Source organism: Homo sapiens, chromosome 18 (genome assembly GCF_000001405.40).
Source record: "Homo sapiens chromosome 18, GRCh38.p14 Primary Assembly".
Lineage (NCBI taxonomy): Eukaryota > Metazoa > Chordata > Mammalia > Primates > Hominidae > Homo > Homo sapiens.
The window spans coordinates 7,229,604-7,248,698 of NC_000018.10; the positions used below are offsets into that span (position 1 = coordinate 7,229,604).

Consider the following 19,095-nt stretch of genomic DNA (forward strand, 5'->3'; position numbering starts at 1 on the left):
TCTCACAATTCTGGAGACTGGAAGCCTGAGATCAAGGTGTTGGTTTCTTCTGAGGCCTCTCTCCTTGGCTCGCAGGTGGCTGCCTTCTCCCTGTGTCTTCACTTGGCCTGATTGCCAAACCCAGCGCCTTCTGAGATACTGGGGGTTACAATTTCAGCATACGAAATTTGAGGGCAGGGTGAGGGGACACAGTTCAGCCCATAACACCAACAATTAACTCTGCAAACTTAAGATGTAAGTTAACTTTTTTAATTCAAGAAAAAGACAGGGAGGCCGAGGCAGGTCCACCCGCCTTGATCAGGAGGTCAAGACCATCCTGGCAAACATGGTGAAACCCCGTCTCTACTAAAAATACAAAAATTAGCTGGATATGGTGGTGGGTGCCTGTAATCCCAGCTGCTTGGGAGGCTGAAGCAGGAGAATCACTTGAACCCGGGAGGCAGAGGTTCCAGTGAGCCGAGATCGTGCCACTGCACTCCAGCTTGGACGACAAGAGCAAAAACTCCATCAAAAATAAAAGAAAAATAAATAAATAAATAAATAAAAATAAATAAAAGACAGGGAGGAGAAGAGAGAGAGAGAGAAAGAGAACGGTGTGTAGCGAGGGGGGCCTCATCATATCCTTCCAGGACAATAGGTGGCCCGCGCTTACCATACTAAGGTGGCCACTCAAGTGACTGTTCAAACACTTAAAGTGCATCCTACTAAATACAGAAGGTCTCTGTAAGACACATGAGCCCAGAGCTTCTCTGGATGAAATGGGAGTGAGGGGTTGAGATCCCCCCACAACTCCCTTCTCACTAAATCACCTCTGACAAGCACAGGATAAAAACCTTTGACCTGGAAGATTCCAGGTATCCGGGCTGCTTTTGTTATCTTTTCACAAACGCACAGTTCATCAAGGTTTGGAACAGGGACCTATGATATCATCTGATGATCTTTAGCTTTGGAGACATAACTGTCACTAGCACCCAGCCCAGTTTCACTGTAAAGTTGTCTGGCTGAGCTCCCGCAATCCTGCCAACAGTCCGTACTTGTGTGGCCTGCTCTGTTTTTCCATTTTACTTCTTTTTAGAGATGGGCTTGTTAATCACCCTGCTCAACTGTGATACCCAAGAAAAGCTGAGAGAGTAAAGTTATATGCAGCCTTCCTGTGACCTGTTTGCATGTACCCAGTCAATAAAACTCAGGCAGAGTGACAGTGACAGCTGCCTTGTGGCATTCAGAGGGATTTGAGCAGTTTAGCAGCCTCCTGGACAAGTATATCATTACAGCCCAGCTGCTAAGAAAGAAAACACCTAAACCCTGGGGAACAGGCACAGCTCCTGCAGCCACCCAGGGACCTGTCTCAGATACCTGCAAGGCCTGATCAAGACTCTCCTGGCAGCTTTCTCCACACTAGGACCTCCTAGTCACAAGTTGGTTCTCACCCTGACGCACACTCCCTGCCTGCAACAGCCTGGCTTTTAGCAGCTGAGAGGACACGGTCCCTGCCTGGGAGGTGGCAGAGGAGAGTGACTAGAAGGGAAGGTACAATGGGGGCCAGGCAGTCAAGGGCCAGCTCCAAGGATAAGGGCCCCAAGAGGATGCTGTTCACGGGGAGGAGACAGAAGTTTTCTCCGTGGGACGATGCCCTGCTCTCGGGAAGGGACCCGCGGTCCCTGCTGAAGCGGGGCATGCACCACGTCAGCTTCAGCCTGGTCACGAGAGGAATGACAGACATCCCCGACTTTCTGTGGGGCTTGTCCGAGGTCCAGAAACTCAATCTGTCTCACAACCAGCTCCGGGTTCTCCCTCCCGAGGTGGGGAAACTGACCCGGATCGTGGTCCTGAACTTGTGCGGGAACCGCCTGAAGAGCCTGCCCAGAGAAGTGAGCCTCCTACAGTGCCTCAAGGTCCTGTTTGTCAACATGAACTGCCTGACAGAGGTGCCGGCCGAGCTGAGCTTGTGCCGAAAGCTGGAGGTCCTGAGCTTGTCGCACAACTGCCTGTCCCAGCTCCCTGCATGCTTCGCCGACCTCTCTAGACTGAGGAAGCTAAACCTCAGCAACAACTTCTTCGCGCACATCCCCATGTGTGTGTTCTCCCTGAAGGAACTGATTTTCTTGCACGTGGGCTCGAATCGCCTGGAAAACATCGCTGAGAGCATCCAGCACCTGGCCAGCCTGCAGATCTTCATCGCAGAGGGCAACAACATCCACTCCTTCCCGAGGTCGCTTTGCCTGGTCACCAGCCTGGAGCTGCTGAACCTCAACAACAATGACATCCAGACCCTCCCGAGCGAACTCCACCTGCTGTGTAGACTGGTGAGGATCGCCTGGAATCCCATGGACAAAGGGCTCCACATTTCCCACAACCCTTTATCCAAGCCTCTGCCGGAGCTGGTGGAGGGGGGCCTGGAGATGCTCTTCGGCTACCTGAAGGACAAAAAACACACCTGACCTGGGTCCCGGAGGCCTGGATGGGAGGCAGCTCATCTGGACTCTGTCAACCGGGGTACTTCTCTCGTCTCAGCTTTCTACTCTCATCCTTAGTGTCTGACAATACCTTTGTTAATATTTGCTAAGTCGCTGTTGAACATCCACGTTAAGGAGGTGATTGTTTTTAACTCTGTATGTTCTTAATAACCTCTGGAATATCATGTTCATCTCATCCTAAACATAAATTGAAACAGGGGGTTGGTTTTCCCCAAAGAGAACTAACAGTTCTGATTCTTCTGAGGAGCAGTGAGATTCAGCCCTTGGGAGAGTGGACACCTAACAGGTCTGAATTCAATGTAATTCAAAAGGCAAATATTTGCTAAGTACTGTGTGCCAAGTACAGTATGAGGTGCTGAAACCTGGTTTCAGATAGTTTCTGCCCTTGAATCAGCAACCTGTGGCCAGGTGGCAACGGCAAGACACGTTCCTCCATCAGCCTCTGTGAAACATTACTTGGGACCAAAAGGCAAACCACAGTGGGCTCTGTCCCCAGTGACCAAAAGAGGCAGAGTTTTCGCCTTGAGTTCTGGGGGACAATCATAGGAAATTTTTCTTTCATGCGGCTACAGAGGAATAACCAAGCCACTCATGCTTATGTCTGGTGGTGAGTAAATGGGTAGAAGGATGGCTTTCAGATATTAAATATGAACTGATATAATGTGTATTTCAACCTTCCTTCCCAGTCCTGTCCCACTCATTGTCATGTCCTTGAACTTCTTTGCTAGACACTAGGCAATCATCAAATGATCCCATTTTAATTTCACTTCTCCATGACTACATCTGCCCTCTCAGAGATAAACTACTAAATGGGATAATTTGGCCAACAATGACCAAAAGGCAGAAAAGAGGGGAAAGACATAGACAAGTCATGCAAAAAAGTAATCACCCTTTTACAATTTGGAGGAGGGTAATATTGACTTTCCCATGTTAACGTTAAAAAAAAAATGAGTTTAGTGACATTTAAAAGCTCCTTGGAAAAAAGTCTCTATAAAAACACGAAGCTTGTTTTTTTATTTTAAGAGCACACAGCTGTTAGTGAAATACAGACACCAGGGCAAGCAGTGACAGAGTTCCTGCACCAAAGGTCACTGGACCTCACTGCTCTGGCAGCAGCCAAGAGCCACATGGCATTAATATTGGTTTAGAGCTACAGAATCAGAATGAAAAGATGACACTGAAGAAAATCAAGTACCTTCAGGTCTACAAAGAGCCAATTGTTCTGATCTCTTGGCACATTTGTCTGCAAAATTATAGCAAATGATACCAAGACTTAGCATTTGGGGTTGCTGCCAACACTTGTATAACTTCTCAGTATTCCTAGTTTAATTCAATTTAACTTATATTTATTAGCACCTTTTCCGGTCCGGACACTGGGCGGGAAACCTGAGAAGAACAACACCTGCTCCTCCTACCACAGAGCTCCCAGGTTGGAGAAGGAGAGAGACCCACGTGGTTTCTACAACGTGCAGCAAGATGTGATCCCTGCTCAAGAAGGATACAAACAATGGGCTGAGGCAAGAATAACACACTATAGGGCGTAGACTAGACTGAGCTCCAAAGTCTCAGTAACCAGAGAACAGTAAGCAAATAGCACAGCTGGGATAAATCAGTCAACCCCTTCATTCCCTGCAGCCATCAAACCCTAATTCCTCCCCACCTCTGCACTCGCCTGATTTGGAAAGAGCAGCGGAGTGTTGAGGCAGTGGCTAGCTCATTCTCAGGTTCTGAGCTTAGGCAATTTTACTGTGAAAAATACTTGCTTTTTCTAAAAGCTGTTCAAAGGGGGTCCGTATAGCTTATTCATAGAGCAAGTGATTTTTTCCCAACAGACCCCAATTCAATTTTCCCACCCGTAAAAGAAGGAAGCCAATTTCTGCTATTATCACCAGATACCATAGTTCCATTAGCACATTTGTGCATGAGGTCTTCTGTTGAACCATTGCACACAGACCTTACCGGTATCATTTGGAGGCAGCTAAGGAAGTCTCCTCCAAATTCCCCCTCTAGCAGCAACTGGAGACCTGCCTATCCCTGCCAGGCACATCCAGGCACACTCCAGAATTCTCCCCCATGTTAGCTTGTTGCAGGCAAGACTATTTAAAGACATCAGTGGAATTCTCACTTGACCTCCTGACTCAATGGGGAATGGTAGGGCCAGGCTTCCTCCGCAGAACCTGGTAGGTCACTTACTGCAGCCTTGGCTGAAGCACACGCAGCTGTCAGACAAACACTAGCAAGTGCCAGGATCATGCCCATGAGTGTCTGCTGCTGAAGAACCACTTGGGCTCACGCTGAATTTCCATGACCTTGCTGTGGGCAGAGACGCAGGCGAGGACAGCAGCACCGCACTTGTCCTGCTGAGCAATCATTTTATTTCCTCTCCTAGCCTTTTCAGTCACTTGATCCCACAGTAACTCTACTCCAGGGAAAGAATGTGACCATATTTTGAAGGTGACCCAAGAGCTCATTATACTTTTTATAAGAAAAAAAATGATATCAATTTGGTTGTCAGCTTCCATTGGTGTCTTTCAAAAGTATAGTAGCAAGGTTTTCTTTGTTAACACTCAGCATTGAGGAAATCATAAAAGTGTAGTAGTTGCCCGATGTGCTTTAGATATTGATTCTTTGTGAATACTCCTTTTTATTGATAAAGGGAAGTGCTGAGCACAAAACTGGTTAATGTGCTTAGTTATTCAAAATGTGAACGCGGAAACAATTTGATATAACCTTCAGTGTCTTCGCTGTCAAATCCTATAGTTTGCTGACTGATTGTGAAATGCTTCTTCCTTATCTGTTGTATTTTGAATACTGCCACATTCAAGTAACTCCAGGTATTTCTAAAGCTTCTGAAATCAAAGCACTGAGGTGACTGGATTGGCTGCGGAGTATACTTAGCCAAAGAATACGAGCTAATTGGGTGCTTGATGTGGGGAGCTGGCTGCTCCCATTCTTGATGATGTTTTGGTTTTCATGTCACTTGGCTCTCAGTATGGAGGGATCTCAGTGTGTGTTCAGAAGCACCTTTCGAAACAGTTGCAGCTTACAGGCATACAATTATGAAGAAATCCTATGTTCATAGGAAAGGAAGACGACTGTGAAAAGACACATCTGTTCAAGGAATAATATTGCTAAATGCATAATACTGCAGGCACATTAGAAAGAAAAATGTAGTCATTACTTAGCTTGTTGACTTAATAAATGGTTAACAGAGAAATGCACTCCATTCTTGGGCTTTAGTTAATAGACTGCCTTTCTGGAGTAAGGAAAGAGAACGACTTCATGACTGCACCTGGATTTCACAGTAAAGTCATGCTTGTGCTGGAAAGAGATAAAAGAGGGAATGCTGTCACTATTTGTACAGATGCATTAAACTCAACCTTTTTCTTTTGGCAATGAATATTGCATTTTGAAAGTGTATTTCATATGGCTCAAAGCATATACTGAATATGCATTTTGAGGGCCATTCATTAAAAACAGAGGAAGATTAAAGGAATGTGGGCTCAGCTACTGGAACGCACATTCAGGTATTGACACCTGAGATTACTGGGGAGACGGAGGCCCAGAGGCTGGACTGGAGTGTATTTCTCATATGCTAGGGGGAGTCCCCTGTCTAGATGGAGTCCCTGAGGTTCTGGTACAAATGGTGAAAAAGAGAAGATGAATTCAGGAAGTGGTCTAAAAAAATTAAAGCTGCTAAATTAAGCCACTATGAAGATTCTAAATACTAAATTATGGCATTATTATCTACTACTGAAGTATCCAAATGGTCTTGATTTTCTCATTCCACAAAAGAATTATTTTCAGTACTCTGTAAGATATATTTGAGAAACACAAAATACCCAGCTAGTGTGCAATGAAGTACCAGTACCCTTGAGGTAATGTCTTAGTTGTAACTAATCCAAGAATACCAAAATACAACCCCTTCCTATATTTCAAGAAAACAAAATAAAATTAAGAGGAACGTGAAAGTTATTGTAAACAATAATGGGAACAGTCTCGACCTTGTTGAGAAGAGAACTTTCTACAAGTGTTTCTTTTAAGTTTCCTGTCTAGTTACATGTTGAATCCAAAGCATTACTGATTTTTTTTAAAAAAGAACAGCACAGTAATAAAAAGAGGATGCAGGGAGGGCTCATAATGAATTTGTAAGAGCTTGGGCATCATTAGGCAAGCATAACCGAAAGCCATTAACATGAACCTTGCTATGCAGATTTTTTTAGTAGTGCCATAGGAATCTGCTTGCAAGGAGAGAGCTGATTTCCTATATGCCTCTAGACTCACTCCTTATTTCAGCACAGGACAGAAAATAAAAGGCAAACTGGAGTACCATCAGGGTATTTCTTGAAACTCTTTTTTTTTTTTTTTTTTGGAGATGGAGTCTCACTCTGTCACCCAGCCTGGAGTGCAGTGGCATGATCTCGGCTCAACGCAATCTCCATCTCCCAGGTTCAAGCGATTCTCCTGCCCCAGCCTTCTGAGTAGCTGGGATTACAGGCACCCACCACCATGCCTGGCTAATTTTTGTATTTTTAGTAGAGACGGGGTTTTGCCATGTTGGCCAGACTGGTCTTGAACTCCTGACCTCAGGTGATCCGTCTGCTTCAGCCTCCCAAAGTGCTGGGATTATAGGCATGAACCACCGTGCCCGGTGAAACTCTTAAGAGAAACATAGATTATGAAAACTATAAGGCGATACAAGCTTTGAGGGTGTGAGCTGTAGCTGCTGACGGGACATCACTTACTCACCCATGTTCTTTGGTCTTGAGTGACTTGGGTTCCTCAGAAGTCAGTGTGCCCGGACATGGCACTGTGGGGAAGTCTCTGTTATCTTCCCGTCTCCTAAAGGTCATGCCCACCACCCTATGTATGCCCGGGGGTGGTGGCTCAAATGATATTTGTTGTGGCAGATTAATCAAGAAGATTAAGAAGAGGCTCTGCGGGGTGGTGGGAAAGCTCTGAGCTGAGAGCAGGCACATGGATCACATGGCGCTTACTGTGCATATGTGTCCTGAGCCTGAGCAGGTGACATCGGGACAGGATGATGGGACGGGGGCAAAGGAGTGAGGCTCAGCTAAACACGATGCAATCCTGTGACAGCCCTGCCCGAAGAGATGTGTAGACAAGTGCAAAGGCGTTTAGGTGAAATTATGGGATGGCAGAGATGTGGCATTACTGCAATGGTGTGGGGAATGCACAGTCCAGCATGACAGTTACAGACATGATGCTTCCTTTGTTTTGCTTTGTCTTGAAGGGAAATTTGTGAATCCCACAGTCTCAGAGCAGGCTGCTTTATAACACCTTTGTGACATCTGCCCTTTTCATTTTTCTATTTTCTTTACCAAAATCTAAGAGGATAGGCAAGCACATGGAAGGAGTCATGATACCTGGAGACACTGTGTGTCCTGGCTTCGAAAAGTGTTCCCAAGCCTCTCCTTTACCACATTATGGGCCAGGATCCTTCCCGAGGTTTCAGAAAGGACCCTGGGCTGGCAGTGGTTCTCAATGTTGGCTGTTCATCAGAATACCTCCTGGTATTTAAAAAAAAAGATTTGAAAGATTTTAATATAGTTGGTCTGGGTTAGACCTGGGCTTCTTACTTTGCTTAAAGCAAAGTAGGTAATTCTGTGGCTCACTCTGGGTTGTGAAATGATGATGCCGGCTATTACCTAAACCGTCAGATATAGGACCATGAAGCCAATGGGGCTGTGAGCCTGGCCATTGAAAGAGGCCAGTGAAAGAGGCGGGTCTCTGGCCCTGGTCAGCAGACAGGGGCCCTGCTGGTGCCTGGTGATTAGACTCATCTGTGCATTTGTTAAAAGGGTAGAGCCCCAGCTCCTTTGGCATGCTTTCAGATTCAGTGAGCCAGGGTAGGGCCTGGCATGTGTGGGCCTAACAAACACTCTAGGTGTCTCCTATCACAACACAAACAGGAGAATAGTTGGTCTCGCAGAACGTGTGCCCACTGGAAAATGAAAGCTCTGGTCTCCAGATTCAGCTGCTCCTGGCTCTCTCTGCCACTGGAGACTGCACGCCTTGATGGCTGTTATCTTTGCACCCAGCATAGGGGAGATAAGAATAATGTATCAAATGGACAAATGAGAAAGTGAAAGAGCATGCAAGATCACCCACCTCTCCACCCCACCTCTCTGGGCCTCAGAGAGGGTGGGGTGATCTTGCTTTACACTCCTTTCAGCTTTGAAATTCTATGACTGCATTCTATCTCTGATTTAATGCCTTGGTAAATAGATATTGGGCTTATAATTACTGTGATTACTCAAGAAAAGCAAAAATCACTGTGGAGCATTGTGGAGATGGGTCGAGATCAGTATGAGTGCTTTGATATCCCTTCCAGCACACCAGAAAAGGTAATTTTAATTTTGGTTGATGTTCAAAAATATAAAAAGAGCGAGCAGTATTGTGGGTGAATCTAGGGGTTTATAGACCTCCAAACTGCCTGGATTCCATCTCTAATTTTTTAATGGATTGGAAGCTCAGAGGGAAAAGCCTCTGTTTCGCTTTTTTAATTGACTGATTAACCACTTCTCTGATTCATGTTTCTGGACGAGATGAAATTCCTAGTTATGCTTTCCCTTAAAAACAAGCAAACAAACAAAAACACTTCTGGGTTTGATTTAATTAAATGATTTGGGCACTTAGAGCTGAAATCTTTCCTCTTGTTTAAAAAAGCATAGTGTATTCCAAAGTGTGAGTTGAGGAAATACAATAATAAAATTCATACCTCTTACATAGCCCTTCCTTATCTACCTGCACATGTGAATCAAATTTGATTTTTGTTATAAATTTTCAAAAGTAACTTCTGCAAATCAACACATATGAAGCTGCAAAATAAGTCTTTGGTATCTTTGATTCTTAATAATGTTGTTCCTCTCTCCACCTCCACTGTTTTAGTCAAAGCTACAAATTGATGTTATTTACACTGTGGAAATCAGAAATTAAGGACTTAATTTGGTTTTGATTAACCTTAGTTATGAAAGGATAGGTTACAATTGCACATGATAACAATTCTTAAATAATATTGCTGTCATATTGTTGCCATATACTTTGAGAATTCAAAGTCTAGTTCTGGTATTATCCTCTTCAGCCACAATATATGAGAAAGTTAAGGATTTCCTTTCTGGAAGTCACAGGAATAGTATAAACAAAGAATTTATCCAAGAAAGATAACAGTCTTCCGTATGTTTAATGTTTATGCTCTCTTGTTTTCATAAACTTCTACTATAAATGATTTAAAGAATTTGTTTGATTTCCCAGAAATATATATGACATGTTTTCTACAGAAATCTTTTTTTTTCTTTTTTTTTTTTTTGAGACGGAGTCTTGCTCTGTCGCCCAGGCTGGAGTGCAGTGGCGCCATCTCGGCTCACTGCAATCTCCGCCTCCCGGGTTCACGCCATTCTCCTGCCTCAGCCTCCCGAGTAGCTGGGACTACAGGCGCCCACCATGATACCCGGCTAATTTTTTGTATTTTTTTAGTAGAGACAGGGTTTCACCATGTTAGCAGGTATGGTCTCGATCTCCTGACCCTGTGATCCGCCTGCCTCGGCCTCCCAAAGTGCTGGGATTACAGGCGTGAGCCACCGCGCCTGGCCCAGAAATTTTTTATTGTTCATTTGACTATATAATATGTTGATTATAGAAAACTGAGTTTGCTCAGTTTGTGAATGAACTTATCATGCTCTTGTTGATTAATTTGCCACAACAAATATCACTTGAGCCAGCTTTCTTCTACAGCTGGAGAAGGAAACTAGCTCCATTTCTGATAGTCAGAATGAGCCTGGCCAACATGGTGAAACCCCATCTCTGCAAAAAACACAAAAATTAGCTGGGCATGGTGGCAGGCACCTGTAATCCCAGCTACTTGGGAAGCTGAGGCACGAGAATTGCTTTAGCCTGGGAGGCAGAGGTTGCAGTGAGCCGAGATTGTGCCACTACACTCCAGTCTGGGTGACAGGGTGAGACCCGTCTTAAAAAAAAAAAAGAATAAGCAGATTTATCTTTATGTCAGGTGATCTTGGTTCCTTAACAGTCATCACCTATTGTGCAAAGGCTGAGGATGAATTTGACAAAATCACACAGTATGTGTGCATCAAAATGTTGGCCCAGCAGGTCTGAATGCTCAGCAGTTGCTCAGATCCTGCACATTCTAAAGAAAGGCTTGGGTTTTGAATGGTTCCTGGGAGATAACCTCCAAGCCCTTGGAACATCCTGCCTGATAAAAGGGTGCACTTTCCTGGGGCCTTGAGCCACATCAGATAGTCTGTCCTATCAGTGTCATTTATGGTGTGGGCCTTGGGTGACATGTTAACCATCTGACCTCTGGAGAAGCTGGAGTCTGAAGTACAAAGGTCAGCCACATGGGCACTCCATGATGAGTGACTCCCAATAAAACTCCTGGACAGCAAGGCTCAGGGGGGCTTCCCTGGTGGGTGGCACTTTATACCTGCTGTCATACATCCTTGCTGTAAGAATTAAGCACCATCTCTACAACTCCATTAGAAGAGGACGGCTGAAACTTGTGCCTGGGCTTTCCTTGATTCTGCCATATGCTCCTTTTATTTTGCTGATTTTGTTTATATCATTTTGTAGTAATAAACCATATCCCTGAATAAACAGATTTCCTGAGATCCGTGAGTCCTTCTAGCAAATTGTCATACTGGATGATGGTCTTGGGAACTCCCCAAAACCATGAATTAAAGAATAAACTTTATTAAGAAAGCAGAAACTTACAAGCCAAGAGTCATCAAGGAGGAGAAGCCACAGGTTCCCAGATTTCCTCTTGATGCAGAGAGGGTCAAAGGAAGCCAGGGACAAGGTATTTGGCTGGCCATGCATGGGAGGTGTGTCTGTCTAGAGGAGAACTCACTTCTCTGGTAGTTCTCCCTTTTTATACGGAAATCATGAGCACACTAATTAGATCCCTGTATTAGTCCATTTTCATGCTGCTGATAAAGATGTACCTGAGACTGGGCAACTTACAAAAGAAAGAGGTTTATTGGACTTACAGTTCCATGTGGCTGGGGAAGCCTCACAATCATGGCGGAAGGTGAAAGGCACATCTCACATGGCAGCAGACAAGAGAAGGGCTTGTGCAGGGAAACTCTCATTTTTATATAACCATCAGATCTTGTGAGACTTACTCACTATCATGAGAACAGCATGGGAAATACCTGCCCCAATGATTCAATTACCTCCCACCGGGTCCCTCCCACAATATGTGGGAATTCAAGATGATATTTGGAAGGGGACACGGCCAAACTGTATCAATCCCTTTGGTGGCTTCTTGGCTGGTTTTTGTGTTAGGAATTGCCAAAGAAAGCCAGCTACTCAGCACCGAGAGATCTTGGGCATCATTAGTCCCAGAGAAGACAATCTGGAGTTTCATTTACTCTTCTGGAAAAAACAGTGAAACTCTGGTCCCACAGGCTCATTATATAGGCAGCCCAGAGTGAACTCCCACATTATTTTTGTGCACTGTAAACAACGCTTTGACTACATGTTGGACATATCACAGTTTCCTTCTGAATGATACAGTGCTACTCTATTAGGAGGTCATTTATAAGTCAATCTCAGTTATTCTTTTTTTTTTTTTTTTTTTTTTTTTTTTGAGACGGAGTCTCGCTCTGTCGCCCAGGCTGGAGTGCAGTGGCGGGATCTCGGCTCACTGCAAGCTCCACCTCCCGGGTTCACGCCATTCTCCTGCCTCAGCCTCCCAAGTAGCTGGGACTACAGGTGCCCGCCACTACGCCCGGCTAATTTTTTGTATTTTTAATAGAGATGGGGTTTCACCGTTTTAGCCGGGATGGTCTCGATCTCCTGACCTCGTGATCCGCCCGCCTCGGCCTCCCAAAGTGCAATCTCAGTTATTCTAAACCTGTCTGAGATACCAGAGTTAATGTCAAATATTTTATTCATGTATTCATAGGTAAGACCTTCAAGTCATAAGATAATGAATGAATGAATACATACATACATACATATTATGCCAATTAATAATAAGCATATGGAGAAAAATAAGACAGGGAGGGAGAATAGGGCTGGAGGGGGATTTGCTATAGGATGGTCAGGAAGGTTGCTGAGAATATCACGTTTAAACAGAGACTTGGTCGGGCACGGTGGCTCACGCCTGTAATCCCAGCACTTTGGGAGGCCGAGGAGGGTGGATCATCTGAGGTTGGGAGTTTGAGACCAGCCTGACCAACATGGAGAAACCCATCTCTACTAAAAATGCAAAATTAGCCAGGCATGGTGGTGCATGCCTATAATCCCAGCTACTCAGGAAGGTTGAGGCAGGAGAATTGCTTGATCCTGGGAGGCAGATGTTGCGGTGAACCGAGATGGCACCACTGCACTCCAGCCTGGGCAACAAGAGAGAAATTCGGTCTCAAAAAAAAAAAAAAAAAGCAGAGACTTGTAGGCAGTGAAGGAGACAGTCATGCAGATATTTCAGGGAAAGATATTTTAGACAGAAAAGAAAGCCATGGAAAGTTAGAAGTGTGCCTGACATGTTCATGGAAAAACAAGAAGGCCAGCATGGCTGAATGGAGTGAGTGCAAGGAGAGTAACGAAGTCACCTGGATGGTGGGATTGGCTAGTAGAAGGCTTTAGGCCATTGGAAGAGCTTTGGCTTTTGCTCTGAGTGAAGTGAGAAAGCCATCTAGGGTTCAGGGAAGAGATCTGGGTTGGAGATAAAATTTGGGAATCACTAGCAAAACAAACAGGAAGAAGTTAGGAAAAAATCGACTCTCCTGTGAAGGGTTTCAGTCAAAACTGGTGATTCTTTTTCTTGAAGTTGTGATACTCAAAGTGCTATGCTCAGCCATCTCAAAAATTCCCATATGCAGTAATGCTTACTTTTTCCAGATGCTAGATAAAGGGGCTATTACTATTCTATATTTCACATCTGTATTTGTGAAAACCCTTGAAATTATTGGTTGATGAAAAGAAGTTTTCTCTAATCACACAGAAATTCCAGCTAGCAGGGCCAAGTGTTCCAAGTGGACACTTACGCACTTCTGCCTTTTGCTCTCCTAACTGGCAGCAATTTAACAGGCAGCCTACCCTCTGCCTACTCTCCTAACTGGCAGCAATTTTAATCGTCATCAAGTACAGATCCGTAACAGTATGGGACAAGACTCACCGAAATATAGTTGGACAAGTCTCAATTCATGTCCTTTCCCCTCTTTTTCCTTCTCCATGTGTTTTAATTTGTTTCTATCTTGGGGCACATCATTACGTTTTCAAGCTACATGTTTAAAACTGGAGCAAAGGATAGCAAAACCAACATTCGTGTTAGATTACCTCTTAGCACTGTGGAAAGGAAAATTTTCCTTGAGTCTGTCATTTAATGAATACATTTCAGAGTGTGAAATTTGATCAACAGAATTTCAGAGTTAGCCCTGCACATTCTCCTACCTACACACTACTGATACTTGCTCCAACGCAGGGTGTCTTGCTGGCAAGCGGCCTAAAAGGCTTCTCTATATGTTGTGTGTGTATTCTATTGGACTTCTTGTCTGAATTACTAAGATCTCTCTAAGTTAAGCAGAGGGCAATAGCCTTCTTTTGGAACTCTAGCTAAAAATCGTCTTTTATTTTGGCCTCATCTTGCATTCTCTCCACAGGCATGGAAACGCCATAAAGTCATGCATACTGAGGAATGATGGCCCTGTAGATTCTTACTCTTGGTAAGGGGCAGAGAAACCATCCTATAACCTGTGACCTGTTTTCTCACAAGTCACCAGGAGATGGGGAATTCCTTCCTGAGATGAATGGTAGGGTGTGATATTCATTGTTTCCGTTACACAAAATGATAAATAATTTTGAAAACCAAAGAAAGAGTTCCACTGGCATGTATGTGTGCTTACTTTTTTCACATATTGATCAAATAATCTGATTGCTGTTTACATCTTGCTAATGCATACGAGGTCTTTTGAACAAATCTTGCACTCGTAATTTAAACTGCAGAGACAGCCACAGAATTTTATCTTCTCACTGGGAAACTATTTTCTCCATATGTGTTTTGATGATGACAGGCCTTTTTCCATCTTGCGGCTGTTCTTCCTTGGGGGAATAGAAATGTAAGGAATAATTTCTGATTTGATATTTGCTGTTCTACTCACGTACCACTGCAGTTTAAAAACTACCTACAAACTTGCCAACAATTTACTTTTAAAACTACACTTTGGGAAAACAAGAGGCAAAAAGGAAGAGAAGGAAGACTCTTAAAATAATACATTTGAGAATATATGTGAAATATTTGGAAGGATGTGATTCACTAATTCTCCTGGGTGCATAACATTGCATAAAGCTACATATATGGGGCTTGGTTAAGGCCATTTCTAAGCTAAAATTTTATAATTCTGCAGATAGGAAGTACCATTGTAAGCAAAAATGTATTCTTCTATATCTCACATAATTCAAAATTGTCATAGTTCATCACTATTCTAGAAAACAATGATGGGTGTTTCTGTTTACTAGTTAAAATGACACAGCCATAAGAAAGTAGCATAAACACAATTCAGAATTCACAGGGTTTATCGGCTTTGAAACTATAATTTTTAATATTTTTAAACTTAGAGGATTGACATTATTCTGAATTTTTTGCAAAATCAAGACTTAGTTAATATCACACTACTTGAAGTCTTTAAAACTCAAAATTTTATATAACGTAATGATACTGTATAATGCAGAGAAGTGTTAGTTTGATACCAAAGGAAATAAAAAATTGTACATTGGGGCTGGGCGTAGTGGCTCATTCCTGTAATCTCAGCACTTTGGGAGGCCGAGGATGGCGGATAATGAGGTCAGGAGTTCGAGACCATCCTGGCTAACATGGTGAAACCCTGTCTCTACTAAAAATACAAAAATTAGCCGGGCGTGGTGGTGCACGTCTGTAGTCCCAGCTACTTGGGAGGCTGAGGCAGGAGAATTGCTTGAACCTGGGAGGCGGAGGTTGCAGTGAGCCAAGATCACGCCACTGCACTTCAGCCTGTGTGACAGAGCAAGACTATCTCAAAAAAAAAAAAAAATTGCACATTGTGCACAATTCCATAGGTCAAAGGATGGCCAAACATTTATATTTCTTTCTTCTCTTAATATTACCAGGCTAATACCCATACAATAGTTGCAGACTCTAGACCTAGAACAAACAAATCTTAAAATTTGTCTTTTTTGTCATACATATCTTTTTAAAACATTTGTGCTCACTTTCAGAAACAAGAGGCTCACCTGGTGCCAATAACCAGCCCATTGATTTCTTCTTCTTTCTCCCTCAAACATGATCCTTCTCCCTTGTTCTCCATCTCAGTGAAAAGCACTTACATCTAGCCTGAACCCTGAGACTCATTCCAGCCATCTGCCTCACTCAATCTGCTCAGCTTACCTATCACCCAATCCTGAGGCTTTACCCCCAAAATCCTCTTCTCCGTCTCTTCTGCTGCTCCTTGGCCAAGCCACTACCATGCCTCCTCAATCTGGTCTCCCTACTTTCTTCCCTGGGCCTCCCTTTTAAATCTATCCCCCACACAGGAGCTGAGAGGTATTTAAAAATGCACATTGGATCATGTTCCACCAGTGCTTAAAGACTTTTAATATGTGCTTGCAATACAAGAAAAATCCTTACATTTGATCTACCAGCCCTTGCAGACCCTGGCTCCATCCAACTACTTCTTCATTTGCTGCACAACATTTTGTTCTCTCAGGAATGTACACACACACTGGCCTTCTAGCTCCTGAAGCCATGGGCCACTGGCCTAGCTCAGGACCTTCAAACACACGGTTCCCTCTCCATGCAATGATCTGCCTGGCCAAAGCCCACTCACCCTTCAGGTTTTAGCTGAAATAGACCTTCTCAGAAAACCTTTTACTTTTCCTTCATAGTACTTAACCACAATTGAAATGACACATATATGTGTGTCTATATGTATGTGTGTACCATCAAATGTAATTGAATTCATTATATAAATGTGTGTACAAACACACACACAGATAGATGTGTACCTTGTGTAATGTGTATCTCTCATGACAACAGGCAACATACCTACCCTATCTCACTGCTGCATTACCCAGCATATAACCTTCCTAGCATACATTAGGCACTTAATACATTCTATTGAATATATTCATATCTAATTATTAAGAATCATTAATTTCTAATTTGTTCCTTAGTTGAAATTCATTTTATCAATCGAATGCCAGGTGTGTACACCTGATTAAGGAGTGCCTTTAGTGCAAAGTTATGTTACATTAAAAAGTACTGTACTGAGAACCAAAGAATAAACATATGAAGCACTCATCACCTAACTTTAACACTAAGGGTGCATGCATAATTAAACCTCCAGTCATGAGTTCAATAAATAAGTGATTAGCTTGAGGACAGCACGGCCACCATTGGCAGTATCATCTCATTACTGTTTGGTAGAGGACATCATCATCTAGCCGCAGTTTAGCTACATGTATGTCTGAGTTAGTGGTTTGTGGAAGAAATAATAACAATAATGATTAAATAATGACAATTATGTAAGTATAAGTAATAGTTGTTGAGTACTTACCATGAGTCAGGTCCATTTAAATCTTACTAGATCTCCATTACATACTCTTTTTTTTTTTTGAGACTGAGTCTTGCTCTGTCGCCCAGGCTGGAGTGCAGTAGCATGATCTTGGCTCACTGCAAGCTCCGCCTCCCGGGTTCATGCCATTCTCCTGCCTCAGCCTCCGGAGTAGCTGGGACTACAGGCACCTGCCACCACGCCTGGCAATTTTTTTTTTTTGTATTTTTAGTAGAAATGGGGTTTCACCATGTTAGCCAGGATGGTCTCAATCTCCTGACTTCATGATTGGCCCACCTCAGCCTCCCAAAGTGCTGGGATTATAGGCATGAGCCACCGAGCCCAGCGTACATAGTTATTCTTACAGGTTGGTCATCCCTAATCCAAAAATCTGAAATCTGAAATCCTCCAAAACTGGAAATACTTTGCTTACCAACATGACGCCATAAACGGAAAATTCCACACCTGACCTCATGTGATGAGTTGCAGACAAAATGCAGTCAAAACTTTGTTTCTTGCATGAAGTTATTAAGAATATTGTATAAAATTGGCTGGGTGCGGTGGCTCACGCCTGTAATCCCAACACTTTGGGAGGCCAAGGCAGGCGGATCACGGGGTAAGGAGATCGAGACCATCCTGGCTAACATGGTGAAACCCCGTATCTACTAAAAATACAAAAAATTAGCCAGGCGTAGTGGTGGGCACCTGTAGTCCCAGCTACTCGGGAGGCTGAGGCAGGAGAATGGCTTGAACCCGGGAGGTGGAACTTGCAGTGAGCTGAGATCGCGCCACTGCACTCCAGCCTGGGGGACAGAGAGAGACTCCGTCTCAAAAAAAAAAAAAAAAAAGAATATTGTATAAAATCACTTTGTGCTATGTGTATAAGGTGTACATGACATATAAATGATTTCCTGTTTAGATTTGGGTCCCATGCCCAATATATCTCATTATGAATTATGCAAATTTCCAAAATCCAAAAAAATCTGAAACCTGAAATACTTCTGGTCCCCTGCATTTCAGATATGGAATACTCAACCTGTCCTGAGGAACTATATAGTGATCTATATCTTTTAATTCATCTTCATGACAACCCTGTTAATTGGTCATCATTTTCATCCATGAGGGAAGTGGCACCAAGAGTGTGCCCACCGTCACCTGTCCGGGAAAGGGCATCCAGCAGGCAGCATGGGGCACACCTCTCCCTGTGGCTCAGGTGAATGCTGCCAAAGGGAACTGACCCATGTGCGGAGAGTCGCAAATCAGTGTGGAATCAAAGCTGGAGAAAATGGGAGACGGGGGCTGAGCAGGAATGGGTGGGACTGGAGCTGGCTGAATCCCACAAGCTTCCAGCACAGGCTTCCATGAGTGGTCAAATCCCTCTGAAGGAGGGGGTTAGGCAGGCAGATCCCTGCCCAGCAGTCCCGTCTCCCTGCCTGCCTGGCCAGGAGTCAAGGGAGCATTATCTCCGTCCTGGTTCTGGGAAGGCCTCTTCCATTGATATTCTGCTTTGCTTCCTCCCTTTTCCTCTGCACCATTCCTGCTGTTATGGTGAGAATCGTCCTTTCCTGGAACAAAACAAACATACTCCTCTAGGAGAGCATTAGTCTTTTGTGCCCAGACAGCCTGAAGTTAAATCCTCTAAGCACAGACTTTTCACTGCAGCTGCACAGAGCACAGCCGCGCGGTCCTATGTCTCCCGAGGTGGCTGTTTGGGTTCCTGGTGTCTAGTGCCCAAACTCACCACACTGGCGTCAGGTGGACTCTGATGTGCACCTCCCACCTCAGGCCTGCAGACACCCTCGGCTCCTGCTCTAGGCTGCAAGTGTTGGTGCCCTCCCAGACTTCCTTGGTGTGTTTGCTGGGAAAGAAATTCTTCCTCAGGTGCCTGCTGGCAGAAAGATGTCTACCGTTGTCCAGATGGCCTGTCGTCTCCTTGTTTCCCTCTCTCCCTTGGCCATCTTCTGGCTGACTCTTGGCTGAGGCTGGAAGCCATCCCCTTGTGCAGGGCTGCTCCGACCTGCTTCAGGACTGCAATCCCCACAGCAGCG

The 19,095-nt window shown here is 44.1% G+C and overlaps 1 protein-coding gene across 1 annotated transcript, besides 1 other annotated feature; it reads left to right on the forward strand.

The window, feature by feature from the left end:
- The first annotated feature begins 1,485 nt into the window (after positions 1-1,485).
- On the forward strand, positions 1,486-2,441 carry LRRC30 (leucine rich repeat containing 30). The gene has a single exon (NM_001105581.3). It carries the CDS (start codon positions 1,536-1,538, stop codon positions 2,439-2,441), a length of 906 nt encoding a protein of 301 aa, NP_001099051.1. The 5' UTR covers positions 1,486-1,535.
- Positions 18,396-18,897: an enhancer, noted in NCBI's record as "H3K4me1 hESC enhancer chr18:7247997-7248498 (GRCh37/hg19 assembly coordinates)". NCBI's record gives its function as "activates a minimal SCP1, AML or CMV promoter by ChIP-STARR-seq in primed H9 embryonic stem cells {active_cell/tissue: H9 hESC(primed)}" and the evidence as "EXISTENCE:reporter gene assay evidence [ECO:0000049][PMID:30033119]".

Excerpts from the sequence above, each read along its gene's own strand:
- LRRC30 (NM_001105581.3), top strand. The coding sequence starts at position 1,536 with ATGGGGGCCAGGCAGTCAAGGGCCAGCTCCAAGGATAAGGGCCCCAAG.